The sequence below is a fragment of the Homo sapiens genome, chromosome 8 (genome assembly GCF_000001405.40).
Source record: "Homo sapiens chromosome 8, GRCh38.p14 Primary Assembly".
Lineage (NCBI taxonomy): Eukaryota > Metazoa > Chordata > Mammalia > Primates > Hominidae > Homo > Homo sapiens.
This window is the reverse complement of record NC_000008.11, coordinates 85213753-85232495: the sequence shown is the minus strand read 5'-3', so window position 1 is coordinate 85232495 and position 18743 is coordinate 85213753. Positions and strand designations below refer to the sequence as shown.

The window sequence follows — 18743 nt, the reverse complement described above, 5'->3', positions numbered from 1 at the left end:
AAAAATACAAAAATTAGCTGGGCGTGCTGGTACATGCCTGTAGTCCCAGTTACTCGGGAGGCTGAGGCAGGAGAATAGTTTGAACCCAGGAGGCGGAGGTTGCAGTAAGCTGAGATTGCACCACTGCACTCCAGACTGGATGACAGAACAAGACTCTGTCTCAAAAAAAACAAAACAAAAAAACAAACAAAAAAACCCACCAAAAATGTATAAACAATTTGTGTAATAAGAATATGGCGAAACAGCCATGTCCATACACTATTGGTAGAAATGTAGAATATATGATCTTCTGGAAAAAAATTGGTAATTTAAATCAAGAATTTTAAGCGTATTCATAACTTTAGATCTTATTGATAGACACGCTGCCTGAGAAAATATTAAGAGATTCTGTCAAAGATTATTCAAACGGATGTTAATTACAGTGTATTTATAACAGAAAAAAGCTCTAGAAACAACAGAAGTGATAATGATAAGAAAAGGGTTAAAACAACTTATGTATATCAAAATGATATAATTTTTGAAAGACATTAAATGCCATATTTCCAAACTACTTATTAAAGTGTATATATATATAGATTATAAAATAGTATCTACACAGAAATTTTAATAAGCAATATAGTATATATGCCTAGAAAAAAAGATTGTAAAGAAATATATCAAAAAAGCTGGGGGCAGTGGCTCACACCTGTAATCTCAGCACTTTGGGAGGCCAAGGCAGGCGGATCACCTGAGGTCTGGAGTTCGAGACCAACCTGGCCAACATGAAGAAATTCCATCTCTACTAAAAATACAAGTTAGTGGACATGGTGGTGCATGCCTGTAGTCCCAGCTACACAGGAGGCTGAGGCAGGAGAATCGCTTGAACCTGGAGGCGGAGGTTGCAGTGAGTCGAGATCGCACCACTGCACTCCAGCCTGGGCAACAGAGTGCAACACTGCCTCAAAAATTAATAACAATAATAATTAAAGAAAGAAAGAATGGGCCAGGTGCAGCTCATGCCTGTAATCGCAGCACTTTGGGAGGCCAAGGAGTGTGGATCACGAGATCAGGAGATCGAGACCATCCTGGCTAACATGGTGAAACGTGTCTCTACTAAAATACAAAAAAATTAGCTGGGCGTGGTGGCAGGTGTCTGTAGTCCCAGCTACTCGGGAGGCTGAGGCAGGAGAATGGCGTGAACCCAGGAGGCAGAGCTTGCAGTGAGCCTAGATTGCACCACTGCACTCCAGCCTGGGCGACAGAGCAAGACTCCATCTCAAAAACAAAAACAAAAACAAAAACAAAACAAAACAAAAGACAGAATAAACTAACAAAAGCAAAGTACTTGCAATGACCTGCAGAACCCTATGTGACCCCCTTCAGCCGTGCTGCTTTCTGTTCATTAATCATGCCACGCTGTCTTCTGCTCTTGGCCTTTCTGCCTGGAGCACCTTCCCCCTAAATATCTGCAAGACCCACTCCTTCACCTCTTTCAAGCATTCTCTCAGTTTTTGACTGTCTGCTTTGGTCTGTGTAAACTCTGAAAATAACACTTTCAACTGAAACACAAAATCATAGTTGAGACTTAGATAGTTGAGAGTTTACATTATCAATTAAACTTGATAATTACAAAGCACTGCATCCTTTCATTTTTTTAAATTTAATAGCACACTGCCTTCTTTGCCTTTGCCAACTTTCTGAGTTTTAAATATGCACCTGCTAAATATTTCACAGTTCCTCTATTTTAACCATTACTTGCATTTTAACCAAGTATCATAAAGAGTGAAAAAGTACGACGCATGCCCTTGGAATATTTTTATTGTCTTTGTGACATGTATTTGACCATTCTTAACCCTCGAAGATTTCAAATGCAAGCCCTTCTTTGTGACTATAATTAGTTCAGGTTCAAGATCCCTAGGCATTTGGCCAGGAGATTATTCTAAATCAAATTTGCTTAATTAAATTAATAGTATATTTGTGGAGCACCTATCACATCCAAGAAGCAGTGCTACAAGAAGACGAAAAGTGTTCTTCTAGGTATATCTTGGCCATGCTAACAGTGACAGTGCTTTACAATAATTTTTAGTGTATGGCTACAAACCCTTGCCTATTTTTACATTTCAGGAAGTTTTATTTCATTCAGCAAATGCTTCTTTCACACCTCCTATGTCACAGAAGTATGTATTCATGAATGGAAATCCAAGGTGACTTTTTTTTCTGGGCCCTGAAAAGAGCACGAGAGAAAAGCATGCATAAAAGTAACATGGTATTTGAATACAGAAACCATACCATGAAAAGCTAAAGCCTGTGACTCACCTCTTGCAGCTTCATAGTAATCTACTGATGCGAGTCACTTTTCCTTCACTGCAAAGCATTAACCATCTCTTTTCATTCACTGGTTCTTACCCTCCAGATATTTCCAGGAATTTGACCTAGAGAGAAAGGTGGTGGATCCTGTTTATTCTGCTGCATTTTCTTATATAGGCTGTGTCATAAATTTTCATTTATAGTCTAGAAATAAATGCTCCTGTCATTAGGGGGTTAAAAAAAGATTCCCCATTTCCACAATCAATCATGAAAATGTTCATCTGATCGGTTCCTCATAAGAAATGTAGATTTCTTTTCCTTTCCTTCCTTCCTTCCTTCCATTCTTCCTACCTTCCTTCCTTCCTTTCCTCCCTCCCTCCCTTCCTCTTTTTTCTTTCATTATTTTGAGGCAGGGTCTTGCTCTGTCACCCAGGTTGGAGTGCAGTGACACAATCATGGCTTGCTGCTGCCTCAACCTCCCAAGCTCAGCTTCCTCCCACCTCAGCTTCCTGAGGAGCTGAGACTACAGGTGCACACTACCGTGTCTAACTAATTTTGTATTTTTGGTAGAAATAAGGTGTTGATATGTTGCCCAGTCTGGTCTCAAACTCCTGGGCTCAAGTGATCCTCCTGCCTTGGCCTCCAAAAGTGCTGGGATTACAGGCATGAGCCACTGTGCCTGGCCAAGAAATAAAAATTTCATTGGAAAGTAGCTCTAATATTTATTTGACCCATGAAGAAACTACACGGAAATGCAGACTGCATATAATTTTTATTGACTGTTTGTCATGCATTGGCTGCTCAGAGGAGCCATAGTGGGTGCACAGTCATCTAAGGATATCTATCTCCTCGTTCGGCTTCATCACTTATTTCCTGAACCACTACTTCCCTGCCTGCAACCATTCCTTCTTCTAAGCTACTTTCATGCAGCTAACAAAATTATTCCCTACAATAAGCAATCTCATGTGTGTTTTGGCGGGTGGGGTGTGGAGAGGAGGACAAGTCCTTCGTTGCCTATAGAATAAAATCTCAAACTCTGCTATCTGCTTCTCTGCCTCCCTCCCTTTCTCTATTCCTTTTTCCTTCCTTCCTTCTTAAGTCTAAAAGACATTAGGTCTTATAAGGAGGAGAGAGACGGCATCAGCCCACAGAAAGCAAGAGAGTGAACAGGGTGGGGAAACCACCTATTCAGGTGGCAGCACATGAAGATGGCCGCAGCCCAGGTGGATGAGAGTCCATGGGGGTAAGGAGGACACCTGCATGTCATGGAGGTAGGGGAAGTAGGTGGCAACAGTGAAAGAAGACTGGTTACATACAGGAAGATGAACCAAATGAGTACATATATTTCAAATAAGGGAGCCAGGAAAAAATGACAACAATGGAATGGTAGAAAACTAAAACCTTTGGTATTCAAATGAAATTAGAGATATCAGCATGAACTCATGGTGTGTACATATAGAAATAAATACAGTTGATGTGCCGTGTGAATACTGATAGATAGGTAGATAGACAAATAGTATGTACACACATGCATGTATTTCCTAGCTATGGTCACTGCAAAGACATGGAAGCATCAACTTCCCAGATCGTGGTTTCTTTGCTTTTTTTTTTTTTTTTTTTAGATGAAGTTTCACTCTTGTCACCCAGGCTGGAGTGCAATGGCGCGATCTCGGCTCACTGCAACCTCTGCCTCCTGGGTTTAAGTTATTCTCCTGCCTCAGCCTCCCGAAGAGCTGGGATTACAGGCGCCTGCCACCATGCCTGGCTAATTTTTTTTGTATTTTAGTAGAGACAGAGTTTCACCATGTTGGCCAGGCTGGTCTTGAACTCCAAACCTCAGGTAACCCGCCCACCTCGGCCTCCCAAAGTGCTGGGATTACAGACGTGAGCCACTACACCCAGCCCAGATCTTGGTTTCTTTTCTTTTTCTTTTCTTGTCTTTTTTTTTTTTTTTTTTAGACAGAGTCTCACTCTCTCACTCAGGCTAGAGTGCAGTGGCGTGATTTCTGCTTACTGCAACCTCCGTCTCCTGGGTTCAAGTGATTCTCATGCCTCAGCCTCCCAAGTAGCTGGGATTACAAGTGTGTGCCGCCACACCTGGTTAACTTTAATGTTTTTAGGGTTTTGCCATGTTGGCCAGGCTGGTCTTGAACTCCTGGCCTCAAGTGATCCACCTGCCTTGGCCTCCCAAAAAGTGCTGGGATTACAGGCGTGAGCCACCATGCCTGGCCCCAGATCTTGGTTTCTAAGTATCATTTGTCACCTAAAGGAACCAGGGCTCTGTGGAGAAATGACTGATTCTAAGATTGGCAAAGCACAGGTCCAAAATGAGCCTGGAATGCTTTGTTGTCCCAGAAAGTAAGGAAGTGGTCAAAGAATGGTAGGGATGGATCAAAATAGTGGGGCAGGTGAAGGAGCACTCACTGTACAAATCTGGGTAATATGAACATCAAAATAAATTATGATAATAAAAGACTATAGTGTGAAGCCAGGCGTGGTGGCTCAGCTCTGTAATCCCAGCACATTGGGAGGCTGAGGTGGGCAGATCACTTGAGGTCAGGAGTTCGAGACCAACCTGGCCAATATGTGAAACCCTGTCTCTGCTAAAAATACAAAAATTAGCAGGCATGGTGGCACATGCCTGTAGTCCCAGCTACTTGGGAGGCTGAGGCAGGAGAATCATTTGAGCCTGGGAGGCAGAGATTGCAGTGAGCAGAGACTGAGCCACTGCATTCCAGCCTGGGTGACAGAGGTAGACTCTGTCTCAAAAAAAAAAAAAAAAAAAGACTATAATCTGTTGAATAAGATAGCAACCTATGAGCTCATACTGATCTCAATAAATACATAGGTGGAGGAGAAAGCTTTTACTAGCAATAAAATGTCAACTGATGACTGCAGAAAAGAAGATGGAAATACAAAAATTAAAATTTGGCAATCATCATAGTAACAATTCAGCCAAGAAACATCAATATGTGTACCAAAACTAGTACATGAAAGTTTGATGAATAATGGGATATTTACATAGTTTAAACTGGCTCCTAAAAAAATACTGATTAAAAGAGGAGTAACTTTCTGGTTTTCTTTTTCTTTTTTTTTTTTTTGGAAATGGAGTCTCGCTCTTGTTGCCCAGGCTAGAGTGCAGTGGTGCAATCTCAGCTCACTGCAACCTCCGCCTTCTGGGTTCAAGTGATTCTCCTGCCTCAGCCTCCCGAGTATCCAGGACTAAGGTACGTACCACCATGCCTGGCTAATTTTTGTATTGTTTTTAGTAGAGATGGGGTTTCCCCATGTTAGCCAGGCTGGCCTCGAACTCCCGACCTCAGGTGACCCACCTGCCTCGGCCTTCCAAAGTGCTAGTATTACATGTGTGAGCCACTGTGCCCGGCCTGAGAAGGGACAACTTCATGGGAGAGAAACCTGATAGATGTTGTCTTAATGCAGTGATCAAAATTCATATTTCCCTGTAAAGGGACAAATAAAATCATGTACTAAGTAATAGGATGCAATGAAAGATCACAGCACTACTTTTCTGGTATTTTTGTCTGTCTTTCTCCCCATCACCCAAAACAGTATATACTAAATCTAATCATGAGGAAACAATAGAAAAAGAAACATTCTAAAACATTTCAAAAAATGATTGAACGGTTATTTTCAAAAGCGTCAAGCCGGGAAAGCCAAGGAAAGATTGAGGTTCTATTCAGGTAAGAGGTACCTAAAGAGACATGACAACCTGATGCAACACTTTATCCTGAATAGGATTCTTTTGTTATAAAAGATGTTATTGGGATAATTAATGGAATCCGAATGACAATTATGGATTAGATAGCAGTAATGTGTCAGTATCCATTTTTTGAGTTTTGATGGCTGCATTGTGGTTATGAGGGAGAATATCCTTATTTTTTGGAAATACTAAAGTATTTTAAAATACTAAAGTGAAATGAACCCTTCTTGGTTAAGGCCCTTCATTAGTTTATCTTACAGTCTCATCTTCAATAGCATCTCCACAACCCCATCCTCCGCCCATAATAGACCTTTCCCACAATCATAACATGTCCATCTCTGGGTCTAGGGCTTGCTCATGTTATGCTGTATGTATATGTGTATGTACACAGATATATGTATATATCTTTTTTATTTTTATTTATTTATTGAGATAGAGTTTTGCTCTTGTTGCCCAGGTTGGAGTGCAATGGCATGATCTCAGCTCACCGCAGCCTCTGCCTCCCGGGTTCAAGCAATTCTCCTGCCTCAGCCTCCTGAGTAGCTGGGATTACAGGCATGCGCCGCCAAGCCCGGCTAATTTCGTGTTTTTAGTAGAGATGGGGTTTCTCCATGTTGGTCAGGCTGGTCTTAAACTCCTGACCTCAGGTGATCCGACTGCCTCGGCCTCGGCCTCCCAAGATGCTGGGATTACAGGCGTGAGCCACCACGCACGGCCATATGTATGTATATCTACAAGGCCTTGCAGCTCCATTTTTGCCAGTTAAAATGTTTGAGTTTAAGAAACATCACTGTGGGGCATGATGACTCGCGCTTGTAATCTTAGCACTTTGGGAGATCAAGGCAGGAGGATTGCTTGAGCCCAGGAGTTCCAGGACAGCCTGAGCAACATAGTAAGACCTCATCTCTACAAAAATTAAAATTAGCTGGGCATGGTGGCACGTGCCTATAATCTGAGCTACTCAGGAGGAGGGGTGGGAGGATCGCCTGAGCCCAGGAGGCGGAGGTTGCAGTAAGCCTTTGTGTCTCCAAAAAGAGGATCATCATAACACTTCAATACTTGAGTATAAGTGTGCTAGAATCATCATAAAACTTAAAATTTTAGATAAAATTAAATCTGACTCTGACTTTCCCTTCTTAATTTGGCATAAAAATGTGATCTCAGTCTCAAGTATATGGAAGTGGGTGGCTTACCTAGTGCCCAGAAAATAGGAAAATTTCTCTGGTCTTCAATTCATCACAGTGGCTGCTGAGATGCTCAATGCCAAAGTCCACATTACATTTAAAGGCAGAAAACTCCATCCTTTCTGTGACATTTATTGGTGCAAGGATCTTATGCTATTGTTCCTAGGGCTGTGGTAGGGGGTGCCACAGGGATAGTCTCAAGCACTTGCAGAAAGCCCTTAACCGCCCTTTCCCCAGTAATTTCTCCAGTCTTATCTTCTCCTCTAGGATTAAGCCATTTCCTGTTTCACTTTCTAAGACGGATCCAGATGGAAATATCTTCTACATAACTGGGAGCTTCCATTTTTAGCCTGGAAGAATGAAAATTATTGATAATCATCAGATGAAAGGGAACCCAAACTCATGACATTAAGGTTTTTCTACCTTCTTGAAATGCTGGGAGGAAAAATTCATTTAAGCTGCCTGTGTATTTGAGTATAAAATAGCAATATTCTGAATAATACCACCATGCTGCTCAACTCTAATATAGGGATTGGCAATGTTTTAAAGTTTTAAATTGGTGGCTGGGTGTGGTGGCTTACACCTGTAACCCCAGAATCTGGGATGCCAAGGAGGGTGGATCACATGAGCTCAGGAATGCAAGGCCAGCCTGGGCAACATGGTGAAACCATGTCTCTGCAAAAAATACAAAAATTAGCCAAGCATGGTGGTGTGCACCTGTAGTCTCAGCTACTTGGGGGGTTGAGGAGGTGGGAGGATCGCTTGAGTCCGGGAGGTGGAGGCTGCAGTGAGCAGTGTTCGCGCCATTGCACTCCAGCATAGGCGACAGAGTGAGACCCTGTTTAAAAAAAAAATTAGGGCCGGGCGCAGTGGCTCATGCCTGTAATCCCAGCACTTTGGGGGGCTGGGGCAGGTAGATCACTTGAGGTCGGGAGTTCGAGACCAGCCTGACCAACATGGAGAAACCCCATCTCTACTAAAAATACAAAATTAGCTGGGCATGGTGACGCATGCCTGTAATCCCAGCTACTCAGGAGGCTGAGGCAGGAGAATCGCTTGAACCCGGGAGGCAGAGGTTGTGGTGAGCCAAGATTGAGCCACTGCACTCCAGCCTGGGCAATAAGAGCAAAATTCTGCCTCAAAAAAAAAAAAAATTAAATTGGTCAAGGCCTAGGTAATAAATGTTTTAGGCTTTCCAGGCTATGCGGTTTCTGTCGCAAGTACTCAGCATTATCATTACAGCATGACAGCAGACAGACAAGATGTAAACAAATGAGCATGGCTGTGCTGCAGTGACACTTTGTGGACACAGAAACATGAATTTAATAGAATATGCATGTGTTGCTATGTATCATTCTTATGTTGAGTTTTTCCCCATCTTAAGATGCAACTTCATTCTTAGCTCGTGGGCTATACAAAAATAAGTAGTGGGCTGGATCTGGCCTTTGGGCTGAAGTCTGCCAATTTCTGCTCTGAGACAATCAAATAAGAGCTTTAACATGAATGTTTCTGGAATTCGGAATTATCTCCACCCATAAATAGCATATTTTGTGCATTTATCATAGTTCTTACCACTTTCTGTCAAGAATCATTGTTCCCTGTGCATTTACAATCCAGATGATTGTGCCCTGAGAGATAGAAATGTGGTATGTACTTCCTTTGAGCACCTACAGAGCCTAGGTGTCCAAACTATTTTGACTTAATGAAACTGTGTGGTGGAGAGAAGAGATGGAGGTTAAATAAGTAAGAGAAATTATGGAGTATCATCTATACAAGGCTGGCTGTGTTCCCTTAGAGGACTATGAGTTTCATTATAGATGGTTTGTAATTTATGTGGTGTTCTCATTTTCTTCTTCTCCTTAATTATCTTTGTTTACTTGTTGAATTGCTTCCAAGACAATTATTTGAGGTCCAGGTCTGTATAAAGAACTCTGCATTGCCGAGTCTATCCCAGGAAAACTAAGGTTTCTGAAAGATTATTTTTCTATTTATGATTTTATTCATCTTTAAGATTGTTAGAAAAACTGGAAATTTAATTTTTGCATGTATTTTTAAAGATGAAAAATCTTTAAGCTATTTTCTTTATGTATGGTTCATTTGGAACATGGGTAAATATGGCTCTTAGAAAATTAACATGATCCTTTCTTTTGTTTTAGTAATACTTTATGCTTTCATGTTTTATATTTCACTAACTCTGCACAATAATCCTGTGAAGTAGGTAGGACAGGAGTGGAGTCAAGACTCTTTCAGGTTAAAGTGACTAAAAAATAAAATAAAAACAACCCAAAGTAGTTTAAGCTCAAAGAAGGTAATATTTTAGCTCAGGTACTTGAAAAATGAAGGGATGGATCTTTCTTCCATCTATGGCTGAATCCAAGGACTCAAATGATTGCATCAGAGTTCTCTGGTCTGTTCAGTTCTGTCTTCTTGTGTGTGTTGCTCTCATTGCAGGAAGACTTCTTCCAAGTTGCTGGAGGAGATGGCCACTAGTAGCCTTGATTTTATATCATCCCAGCACAAAGACACCAAATGCAAGAGACAGCATTTTCCACCAGCTCTAGCTGGAAAATCCTTAGAGGAGGACTGTAGTTATCAGCTCAACCAGGACAACTTGATCGGAGAAGAGTGGTTATCCAGAAAGGGATGCTGAGCAGATAATCAACGTTCTCTGAAGTGGGTATAATGACTATCTACATGCATATGGGAAAGGGAGGCACAGAGAAATGAAGTAACTTTTCCAAGATCACACGGTTGGTTGGTGGGAGAGGTAAACCAAAAACCCAGGCCTCCTCACTCAGACCTCTGCTCTTGCCTGAATAACCATGTTATTTCGCCACTTCAAAATAAAAGTGAGACCTACCAGTTTTCATAAACACTGTAATGTCGTTCTGTTACATTTATTTCTTTGCCTTCTGTATATATATATCAATAGCCTCACATTCAAAGAACCAAATAATTGTACCCAACTTATTCACCTCAGTATTTGTGAATAACTCTGGCCTTATAAAAAAGTCTAACGGTTTTCTGTTTTTGTTTTGCTCTTACACTTTATGGGCATTTTATACCAGCATTTTTAGGTGTTTTTAACAGGTGGATCGTCAGAAAGAATACAAAAGTTTGAATAAACATACATTGGCAAGCAATTATTCCTCTCCCCTTAGTATATTCTGTTCCTTAATTTTTTTTGTGATGGGCATAATTAAATGATTTATTGCAAAAATTGCTTATCTTTCTGTAAGCAGGCAAGTGCCTGGTTTGTTGGAAAGAGGACTTGACCAAGTGCTAACCAATGTGGATTTGCGAATTATCAAGTTTACAAAACCTTTTTAAAAACTGTTTTAAAAAAATGCTTAGTTTTACAAAACCGTCTGGCTTTGTCAATTTCTAGTTAGTTGTGTGGCTGCCAGCACACGGCTTAAACTCTGAACCTTAGTAGTATCATCACTTGCAAAACAGGAGTGGTTTTATCACCTTATTTTGAGCATAGTGTAGGCTGAAATCTTTTGTAAGCTACAAAATGGCATATAAATGTCAGTTTTACTGACAGAGCAGGAGCACCGTCATCTCGGACAAACACCGCCATTTTTAAGTTCCAGCTCCCTTTCTAGCCTCATGAATTTCAAGGAAATCACTTCTCTTCTAATTACAAGCAGATAGAAAGAGCAGTCAGTAAAACACAGATAAGACAGCTCAGGCAGAGTGAAGTAGGGGGAAAATCTCTTGGCTAACTACCAAACCTCACCCTCATACAATGAGCCCCAGTGAAACAGTGGGCCTTAATAAGCACATTCCTTTCCCTTCAGGTGTACTAAGATAGGGAAGCTAAAAGCAGACTTTTAGCTGCGGGTATGCCTGCAGCTGCAGAAAGATGTATGGGAACAGACACACAACTCTCCCTCCCAGATAAGCACAGCAAAGAGACACAGAAGCAGTCCAAGCCTCTGTTAAACTCTCCCACCCTGAATCCTTAAAAACTCTTAGTCTGTAAGAGAGTGTGGCTCTGACCTAACTTGGCCAGCTGCCAGTCTCAGGTTTATTTAAAATAAACCTGTCCCTGTTGACTATAAAGCCACCCTTCGTGCTTCTCTCCTCTATTTAATTCTTACATCTACGTTTGTTTGAAATCCAGCTTTTCCTATGACCTCAACAAAATAAATAGAGGCACATGTGAAAACTTACCTTTAATAGGGTTATTCTCTTGGAAGAATTGAGTCAATTTTCTTAAAGCAGAAAAACCTAGACGACGTTATGGGTTGAATGTTTTAAGTTCCTTGGTACCTGTTTTATTTGTATATTTTATACTGTGCCTGGTTTCTTGTGCCTTTGCAGTGCTGTCAAAAATTCTCTTTTTGAAACAAGGAAGCTGCAGTGAGAAAAACATTTCTAACTCGCAGTGCATTACAAATCTTCCTTTCGGAGATTATAGCTCTAGATCTTTTCCAACCTCAAGGCTCCCTCTACCGCCAGCCGAGCCCTGGAAACCACCCAGAGGTGCACAGCGCCTCCTCCTGGGAGAGTGGCAGAGTCAGCCGGGAGTCCGCGGCGGAGCGCTGACCTCCGGTGCGGCGGTCTTCACTGTGCAGTCTCAGAAGCACCTCGGGAAGTTTCTGCACAAGTACCCACGCCAGCAAGGGGAGACTTGGCTGGCTCCATAACGCCCCAAACTCGCTTGAGCTGAGGATAAGTCTGCAACACCGCGGAAGACAAGGGATGCTAATGAGACTGGACTTCCGAACCTCGCTCTATGGGTGGGGCTTCGCTTTTTCACTGCACCTTGCTCCTTAGACTTGGCTCTATGGGCGGGACTACGCCAGGTGGGTGGGAACTCACTCTATGGGCGGGACTTCCGCCTATGGACGGGGCTCCGTTCGGTGGGCGGAGCTACGGCTCGTGAGCGGAATCCTGACTGGTTCATCCTCCCCGGAACTTCCTAGACGCCGTACGTGCCAGATGGTGTTACCTGGAGCTTAAAAAGCTGCACGCAAGTGTTAAACTTCTGGTGAGAGTTTAATAAATTAAGTTTTCTGGAGGGCTGGCGTGAAGTTTGCAGGGGTCGGGGTTGGATTGGGCCGGTCTCGTACCGCTGTGGCCTGTAGGCTCGGTTCCGTCGCGCTCTGCCTCAGGCAGCCCTACTGGGTAGCAGGCCCGAAACCCCGGTGCTTGTTGGGCTTTCATCTCCTGACGGGGTCCCAGTTTTGGGCTGTGTCTTTCATGATCAGTTTCTACGTGGTTTTCAGAGAATTTCCCTCCACTCGCACACCCCCACTAGTGTATTACTTTCTCCACGAACCTTGCTCAGGTCTACAGCTCTAGTAAACCTCTCCACTTGTAGACTGTCTGTTCATGGTCCATGTGTATATTATAGGTAGTGTCATGTACAATATACCTATCATGTCTGTGTATGTTCCGTATATATACTGTCATTATTTATGTTCCATATATATTTTTTGTGTATAAAATATAGGTTCTCTACCACACGTGGCATATAGCAATTGATTTATACTAGATGAATGATTGGATTTTGGTTACTATTGTAATTATTTTATTTTAATTTTTATTTATTTATTTTTGAGACTGAGTCTCAGTCTGTCGCCCAGGCTGGTGTGCAGTGGCGTGATCTCGGCTCACTGCAACCTCCGCCTCCTCGTGTCTCAGCCTCCCGAGTAGCTGGGATTAGAGGCGCGCGTCACCACGCCCGGCTAATTTTAATTTTTTTTAGTGGAAACGGGGTTTCATCATGTTGGCCAGGGTGGTCTCGAACTCCTGGCCTCAAGTGATCCGTCCGCCTCGGCCTCCCAAAGTGCTGGGATTACAGGCATGAGCCACCGCGCCCGGCTTGGAATGATTTTAGAGTACTTCATTTGAGGGGTTTTATTATGTGTATTTTATTTTTTGCATCTTCTGTAATAACCATGTATTTTCTACTGCATTCTTTTTTAAGTAGGAGGAATACTGTTGGCGTTCAAAAGCATTGCTGTTTCAGTTAAGTAGTTCCTTAATTACTTACAATGTAGTAAGGCTACATTGAAGGAAGATATAAATTTCAGTCAAGACTACGACTGAGCAAAGGTAAAAAAGGAAGAATGTTCAAGGTGTCTGTGCAAGAGAACAGTTAGACCAGGCTGGCTAGAGCAGTGTTTATAGGGACGTAACAGGAGATATGTGTGGCAGATTTAGGGTAGATTCAGAGTGCCAGTAATATGCCAAGCCAAGGCACGTTGCCCCTTATACATTGGGAAAACTGTTGAAGGTTTTTAACATTGGGAAGGTCGATCGCATAGCTTGGTGCCAGATAGCCACTGTGCAGATGGCTTAAGCCAGGAGTTGGCAGACTTTCTGTTAAAGGTCGGACACTAAATATTTTGGACTTTGTGGGTCATAGTTATAGCAGGAAAGCAGCCATATCAGCATATGATTGAATGGACATAACTGTATTCCAATTAAACTTTATTTTTTAATTAATTAATTTTTTTGAGACAGAGTCTTGCTCTGTCACTCAGGCTGGAGTGCACTGGTGCAATCTTGGCTCACTGCAACCTTCGCCTTCCGGATTCAAGCGATTCTCCTTCCTCAGTCTCCCGAGTAGCTGGGATCACAGGCATGTGCCACCACGCCCAGCTAATTTTTGTATTTGTAGTAGAGACAGGGTTTCACCATGGTGAGGCTGGTCTCTGCCTTCGCCTCCCAAAGTGCTGGGATTATAGGTGTGAGCCACCGCGCCTGCACTTGGCCTCCAATTAAACTTTACTACAAGGACAGGTGCTTGGCCTGATTTGGTCCATGGGCATAGTTTGACAAACAGTGGTTTGAACAAATGGACCTAGGGACTTCAGCAGTAATCCAGTCCTGAACTAAGCAATACTATACCATTTTTTTGTATAGCTTTTATATTTATACATGAAGTGTAATATCACATAACGTTAGCTCTGATCTAGTCTGCCTGGCTGTAAGTCCTGGCATCTCCTGGTTATTGACAGTGTGACATTGGGCAAATTAACTTCTCTTTGCGTCAGTTTTTTAATTTTAATCTTTAAAATGGGGATAATAGTACTTCTTACAAAGGGTTGTAAGGAGTAAATGAGTTAAAGCACATAAGTGTAGTGCTTGTACATATAATAAAAGCTCAATATGTGTTAACTTAATATTTTAAAAATTATTCCTCATATACATTATTAAAGGCAGATCTGAGAGATGTTTTAAGGTAGAATTTACTGGCTTAATGCATCTCTAGCTACGGAGGAAAGACAGTATCCAACACTTCAAGGCAAGGGCCGTTCACATAGAGGTAATATGGAAGTCATAAAAGTAAATTAAGGGAGAGAGGGAGGTAGGAAATGGAGGATTAAGGACTGATTTTGATGGGATGCACAGGAGAGAAAGTGGGGAGAGTAAAAAGGAATAAAAAAGAAGTCAAGAAGGAGGCAGAATCAGTCTCTAAAGTATGATAGGAACCAGAATAGCATAGTAGTATATAGACTAACAGAAGGATGGGTGGTGAGGTACTGCTGAGAATAACAGTTATTGTGTTGATGATATTAGTGAATTCAACCAGCAGATATTAATTGGATGCCTCCTATGGGCCCATTACTGGGGATACAGGGAAGAATTAGATACATACTCTGTACTCAAAGAGCAGAAAATCTACTAGGAGTGAAAGACTTGGAAATAATATATGCACCAACTTTAAAAATAATCAAGAGTAAGATAGAATTTTTTAGATTTAATTGGTACCTTTAAAAACTTAAAATTGACTTACGGTTCATAAATGTGGGCAATTTAATTGAATTTATTTTCTTTTCTAGACAATGGCCAAGAACAAATTAAGAGGGCCGAAGTCCAGGAATGTATTTCACATAGCCAGCCAAAAAAACTTTAAGGCTAAAAACAAAGCAAAACCAGTTACCACTAATCTTAAGAAGGTGAGTATTAGTTAAGCACTCTGACTTTATTGTTTACAAGCAAAGTGTCATTGTAAGCTACTGAACAGCTGTATACTATTACTTTTTAAAAAGGTTCTTCATTTTTCCTAGAAAGGTAAGGATGGTTTCAAGCATTTGTCTAAAAAAATATAAAAAAAAAGGAAGAAAAATAACCTCCCTTTCTTGAAAACAAATGTTGAAAAGAAATAAACATTTTAACTACAAATGTGTGAAGCTTCAATTTAATAGTTTTACTGAACCATAGAACTCATTTAAAAACCATAGTATGGGAAACAGTTCTTATCTCTAAACTCAAATGTAAGAATGTATTAATAGAGGCAAGACATGGGATGTCAGTGAGCACCCATTCTTTTTCTCCTCAGTAATTCTTGTATCTTTGAAGACATCTGCAATTCAAACAAAAACCTGTAAAATGAAGATAAAAAATATTTATTGAAATGCACAATTTGAAAGGGGTTTCTTTTCTTTGTTTATATTTCAAAATACCTGAGAAATTTCTACAAGATTTAAGAAAAATTTTTAAGAAAATGTTTTCAAGTTTCAGTAGTAGATGGAGTCAGCTCTCCAGGACTCAGTTTAATTATAATAGTCCATAGAAATCTAACATTTCATCTTTCAACTTTCATGAGCTAGCGGAGTTAAGCTTTTTGGTTGAATAGTTTTATGATTTTATAAATGCTAAGAATGAAATTAAGCAGATGATGGGGGTTTTGGGGATGACAGTTTATATAGGACGGTCTTCATAGTTGACACATTGAAACCAAGACTAGAATGACAAAGAGCTAGCAATGCAAAGAGCTAGGAAGTGTTGGGAGTGGTGGGTTCGAGGCAGAGAAAAATAGCAAGTGCAGAGGCCCTGAGCTAGGGAAAAGCTTGGTGTATTTGAGGAAGATTATTTTATTTGGACAGGAGGTACTAGAACTTTTATATATGCCACCAGGTAGGATCTAAGAGAGAGATCTATGGGTAGGCTGCATAAGGTGCAAAGGAGGTAAGGGTTTTGAAGGAGAAATTGTTTGGCAGCAGCAACAGTGAAGAAGAAGAGCACCACCCCTACCTCTGTTAAACTCAAGAGGAGGACTGCGAGGGAAGCTGTCATCAGGGGTCTTCCATTAAGACAAGAAGGTCCAGGAAGGATTCAGAGACGTATTGTTATGTTAGAAGGGACTAAAAGTATTTGATCCAGGTTTCTTGTATAGATGCGGGATGACAGCACTGTAGCCTAGAAAGATTTTGGTCACTGTAAGGATACAGGAAAAAAGCAACTCAGTTTCTCTTACTCTCACTCTCATACGGTCACTCAACACTTCCAATACTAGATTTGTGGGGCAGTTCCCCCACACCTAACAATTCTGCAGATGAATCTTCAGCAGGCAGCAGCTGGGTGTCCTTTAATTAAAATCTGACACTGCTGACCTGGAGATAGCGTCAGATTCCACAGGTTGAGAGTTGAGTCCTAAGCCTCTCCCCAACTTCCAGTGACAATCACAAGTCCCAGATGTTTTACCTGTGCTTCTCACCAACCAGTTATAAATAAGTGTTCCCATGACCCCCTCCTTGGGTTTGATTAATTTGCTAGAGCAGCTCACAGAACCCAGGAAAATACTTTTACCAGTTTATTATAAAGGATATTACAAAGGGGACAGATGCGTAGCCAGATGGAAGAGGTGCAGAGGGCAAGGTACATGGGAAGGGGCATGGAGCTTCCCTGCTCTCTCTGGGCATGCCACTTTCTAGGAGCCCCCATGTGTTCAGCTATCCAGAAGCTCTTTGAACCCAGTTCTTTTGTAGATTTCCGGAGGCTTCATTATGTAGGCATAATTCATTAAATCATTGGCCATTAGTGATGGGCTTAACCTTTATCCCCACTCCTCTGGAGCAGAAAGTCCTAATCCTCTAACCCTGTGTTTTTATCTGACTAGCCCTCCTCCTGAAGCTATCTAGAGACTCCCAGCTACCAGCCATCTTATTAGCATTCAAAAGACACTCTTATCCCTCTTAATACAATGATTTAAAAAGCTGTATGACAGGAAATGAGGACAAAGACCAAATATATATATATATCTTATTATGAATCACAATATCACAGTCACATATTTTAGCCTTCTGAACCATAAGTGTGAGGCATAGCCACATAAATCCCATTTTTTAAAAACCAAAACTTTTTGTCTGTAATTTCCCAATAAGACTATAAGAATTTTTGAGTGAATTATCCCTAATTTGTTGGTAAGAGTTTTTAGATTTTAGATTTAACAGGTTAAGGTTGAATATATCTTATCTTTAATGGTTATGAGATCATAGATTAATGCTTTTTTTCTTTTTAAAAGATAAACATTATGAATGAGGAAAAAGTTAACAGAGTAAATAAAGCTTTTGTAAATGTACAAAAGGAACTTGCACATTTCGCAAAAAGCATTTCACTTGAACCTCTGCAGAAAGAACTGGTAAGCAGAAATCATTTGCTTTTTTTTATGGCTAACAAATTGAGGCTAATAAATTAAACTCCCAAGTTTTCAAAGCCTGTAAGTTGAGTGTAATTTTTAGTACTTGGCTCTCTAGTACTAGGCTCTATAGTATAAATAGCATATTCAGACTCTAAAACATTGTCAGAATATACAGATTGTTCTACTTCCAAAGATATGACTAGAAAAATTAAATTGAATAACAGCTTATATAAGTCATTTGTCTGCTATTGTTGTCTGTGTTTTTAAATATAATACTTTCTCCTTTCAGATTCCTCAGCAGCGTCATGAAAGCAAACCAGTTAATGTTGATGAAGCTACAAGATTAATGGCTCTGTTGTAATATACTGGTGATGCATCTAATTCTCCACAAAGACCAATAAATTGAATGTTTTATACAATTTTATTTTTAAAAATCTTGTTAATGTACAGGCATTGGCACATTTTAAAAACAAACTACATAAACAGATCTTTCCTATAACCTAGGAAAGTGGAATGTCAGAAGTCAACAAAATGTGATAAACTTAAAGTGCTAAAACAGAAGGCACTTCACAAAATCTGTTCACTGAAACAGTTATATATCCTCGTTTACATCCTTCACTTTACAAGTGGCAGTGAACGTCTGTTTGGATAGAAGGACATACAGAAATACAGGCAGTTTAGTGGCAGTAAAAATATAAGACAAGTAATGAGTCCTTGGCCAACTTGTTTTTGATGACCTGTAGTGTCCTTTAACTTTCCTCCTTAAGAAGAAAAAACAGAAGGATTCACAATTAGAAGAAAAGTTGAAATCCAGAATATAGTTACTTTTGGGAGTGGGGACGTTTGTGGATATTAAATCACTTATCCCCTAAAGCAATCAGAGCCCTTTGTTTTTATGGTTGAAGTTTTGTGAAGTAAAGAAAGTATTAGGGAAGAACACTTCAGAATCAGTGAACTAAAAAAGGTGTTACATTCATTATTTTAAATATTTAGGTTATTAAGAAGTCTAAAATGTTACACAGTTAGAGGTAGATAACAGTCCCAAGTTTCCATGGAATCTAATAATTTAGTATCTGGACATCAAACAGATCACAAACTCCTTCGTTATCATCTAAATTAAAGTTGTAGTCATCTGCCGGGGTAGGAGAAAGCCTTAAGAGAGGAAACA

The 18743-nt window shown here is 40.7% G+C and overlaps 2 protein-coding genes and 2 long non-coding RNA genes across 15 annotated transcripts in view, besides 5 other annotated features; 2 read left to right on the top strand and 2 right to left on the bottom strand.

Moving 5' to 3' along the window:
• Positions 1 to 10069, top strand: part of LOC105375936 (uncharacterized) — a 21059-nt gene extending 10990 nt beyond the window's left edge. Inside the window, exons 2-4 of one of the 2 annotated variants that reach the window (XR_929125.3) lie at positions 3386 to 3529; positions 5857 to 5987; positions 9643 to 10069. This is a non-coding gene — a long non-coding RNA (uncharacterized LOC105375936). The remainder of the gene's footprint in view (positions 1 to 3385; positions 3530 to 5856; positions 5988 to 9642) is intronic. The other variant, XR_929126.3, reaches the window with a different exon arrangement.
• The window catches only part of LOC124901969 (uncharacterized), a 17324-nt gene extending 5375 nt beyond the window's left edge, over positions 1 to 11949 (bottom strand). The window contains exons 1-4 of one of the 2 annotated variants that reach the window (XR_007060984.1): positions 11371 to 11949; positions 7201 to 7541; positions 2296 to 2411; positions 1780 to 2203 (exon numbers count right to left, since the gene is read on the bottom strand). This is a non-coding gene — a long non-coding RNA (uncharacterized LOC124901969). Of the gene's footprint in view, positions 1 to 1779; positions 2204 to 2295; positions 2412 to 7200; positions 7542 to 11370 lie in introns of those variants that run through there. The other variant, XR_007060985.1, reaches the window with a different exon arrangement.
• Positions 6079 to 6578: an enhancer, noted in NCBI's record as "H3K4me1 hESC enhancer chr8:86138147-86138646 (GRCh37/hg19 assembly coordinates)". NCBI's record gives its function as "activates a minimal SCP1, AML or CMV promoter by ChIP-STARR-seq in naive H9 embryonic stem cells {active_cell/tissue: H9 hESC(naive)}" and the evidence as "EXISTENCE:reporter gene assay evidence [ECO:0000049][PMID:30033119]".
• Positions 10333 to 11102: an enhancer, noted in NCBI's record as "H3K27ac hESC enhancer chr8:86133623-86134392 (GRCh37/hg19 assembly coordinates)". NCBI's record gives its function as "activates a minimal SCP1, AML or CMV promoter by ChIP-STARR-seq in naive H9 embryonic stem cells {active_cell/tissue: H9 hESC(naive)}" and the evidence as "EXISTENCE:reporter gene assay evidence [ECO:0000049][PMID:30033119]".
• Positions 11586 to 11825: an enhancer, noted in NCBI's record as "active region_27593". NCBI's record gives its function as "activates an Ori minimal core promoter by ATAC-STARR-seq in GM12878 lymphoblastoid cells {active_cell/tissue: GM12878}" and the evidence as "EXISTENCE:reporter gene assay evidence [ECO:0000049][PMID:35858748]".
• Positions 11875 to 12646: an enhancer, noted in NCBI's record as "H3K27ac-H3K4me1 hESC enhancer chr8:86132079-86132850 (GRCh37/hg19 assembly coordinates)". NCBI's record gives its function as "activates a minimal SCP1, AML or CMV promoter by ChIP-STARR-seq in naive H9 embryonic stem cells {active_cell/tissue: H9 hESC(naive)}" and the evidence as "EXISTENCE:reporter gene assay evidence [ECO:0000049][PMID:30033119]".
• Positions 12122 to 18448, top strand: RBIS (ribosomal biogenesis factor). Of its 8 annotated transcripts, none has more exons than XM_011517528.4 (5): positions 12122 to 12190; positions 13136 to 13173; positions 14994 to 15110; positions 17459 to 17575; positions 17865 to 18448. In XM_011517528.4, exons 3-5 carry the CDS (start codon positions 14997 to 14999, stop codon positions 17934 to 17936), a joined length of 303 nt encoding a protein of 100 aa, XP_011515830.1. In that variant the 5' UTR covers positions 12122 to 12190; positions 13136 to 13173; positions 14994 to 14996; the 3' UTR covers positions 17937 to 18448. The 8 variants fall into 8 exon arrangements, 7 of the variants coding, with proteins under 7 accessions (XP_011515830.1, NP_001093141.1, NP_001093142.1 ...); NM_001099671.3 differs by having other exon boundaries at positions 13136 to 13260; NM_001099672.3 differs by having other exon boundaries at positions 13133 to 13173.
• Positions 12136 to 12265: an enhancer, noted in NCBI's record as "active region_27592". NCBI's record gives its function as "activates an Ori minimal core promoter by ATAC-STARR-seq in GM12878 lymphoblastoid cells {active_cell/tissue: GM12878}" and the evidence as "EXISTENCE:reporter gene assay evidence [ECO:0000049][PMID:35858748]".
• E2F5 (E2F transcription factor 5) overlaps positions 17978 to 18743 on the bottom strand; it is a 37365-nt gene continuing 36599 nt past the window's right edge. For all 3 annotated transcript variants that reach the window (NM_001951.4, NM_001083588.2, NM_001083589.2), the window contains exon 8: positions 17978 to 18743. In NM_001951.4, the coding sequence (NP_001942.2) occupies positions 18634 to 18743 (110 nt within the window). In that variant the 3' untranslated portion in view covers positions 17978 to 18633.

Excerpts from the sequence above, each read along its gene's own strand:
- RBIS (NM_001099673.3), top strand. The coding sequence starts at position 14,997 with ATGGCCAAGAACAAATTAAGAGGGCCGAAGTCCAGGAATGTATTTCAC. Across the intron at positions 15,111-17,458 it reads TTACCACTAATCTTAAGAAG|ATAAACATTATGAATGAGGA; the intron begins GTGAGTATTAGT and ends TCTTTTTAAAAG. Across the intron at positions 17,576-17,864 it reads AACCTCTGCAGAAAGAACTG|ATTCCTCAGCAGCGTCATGA; the intron begins GTAAGCAGAAAT and ends TTCTCCTTTCAG.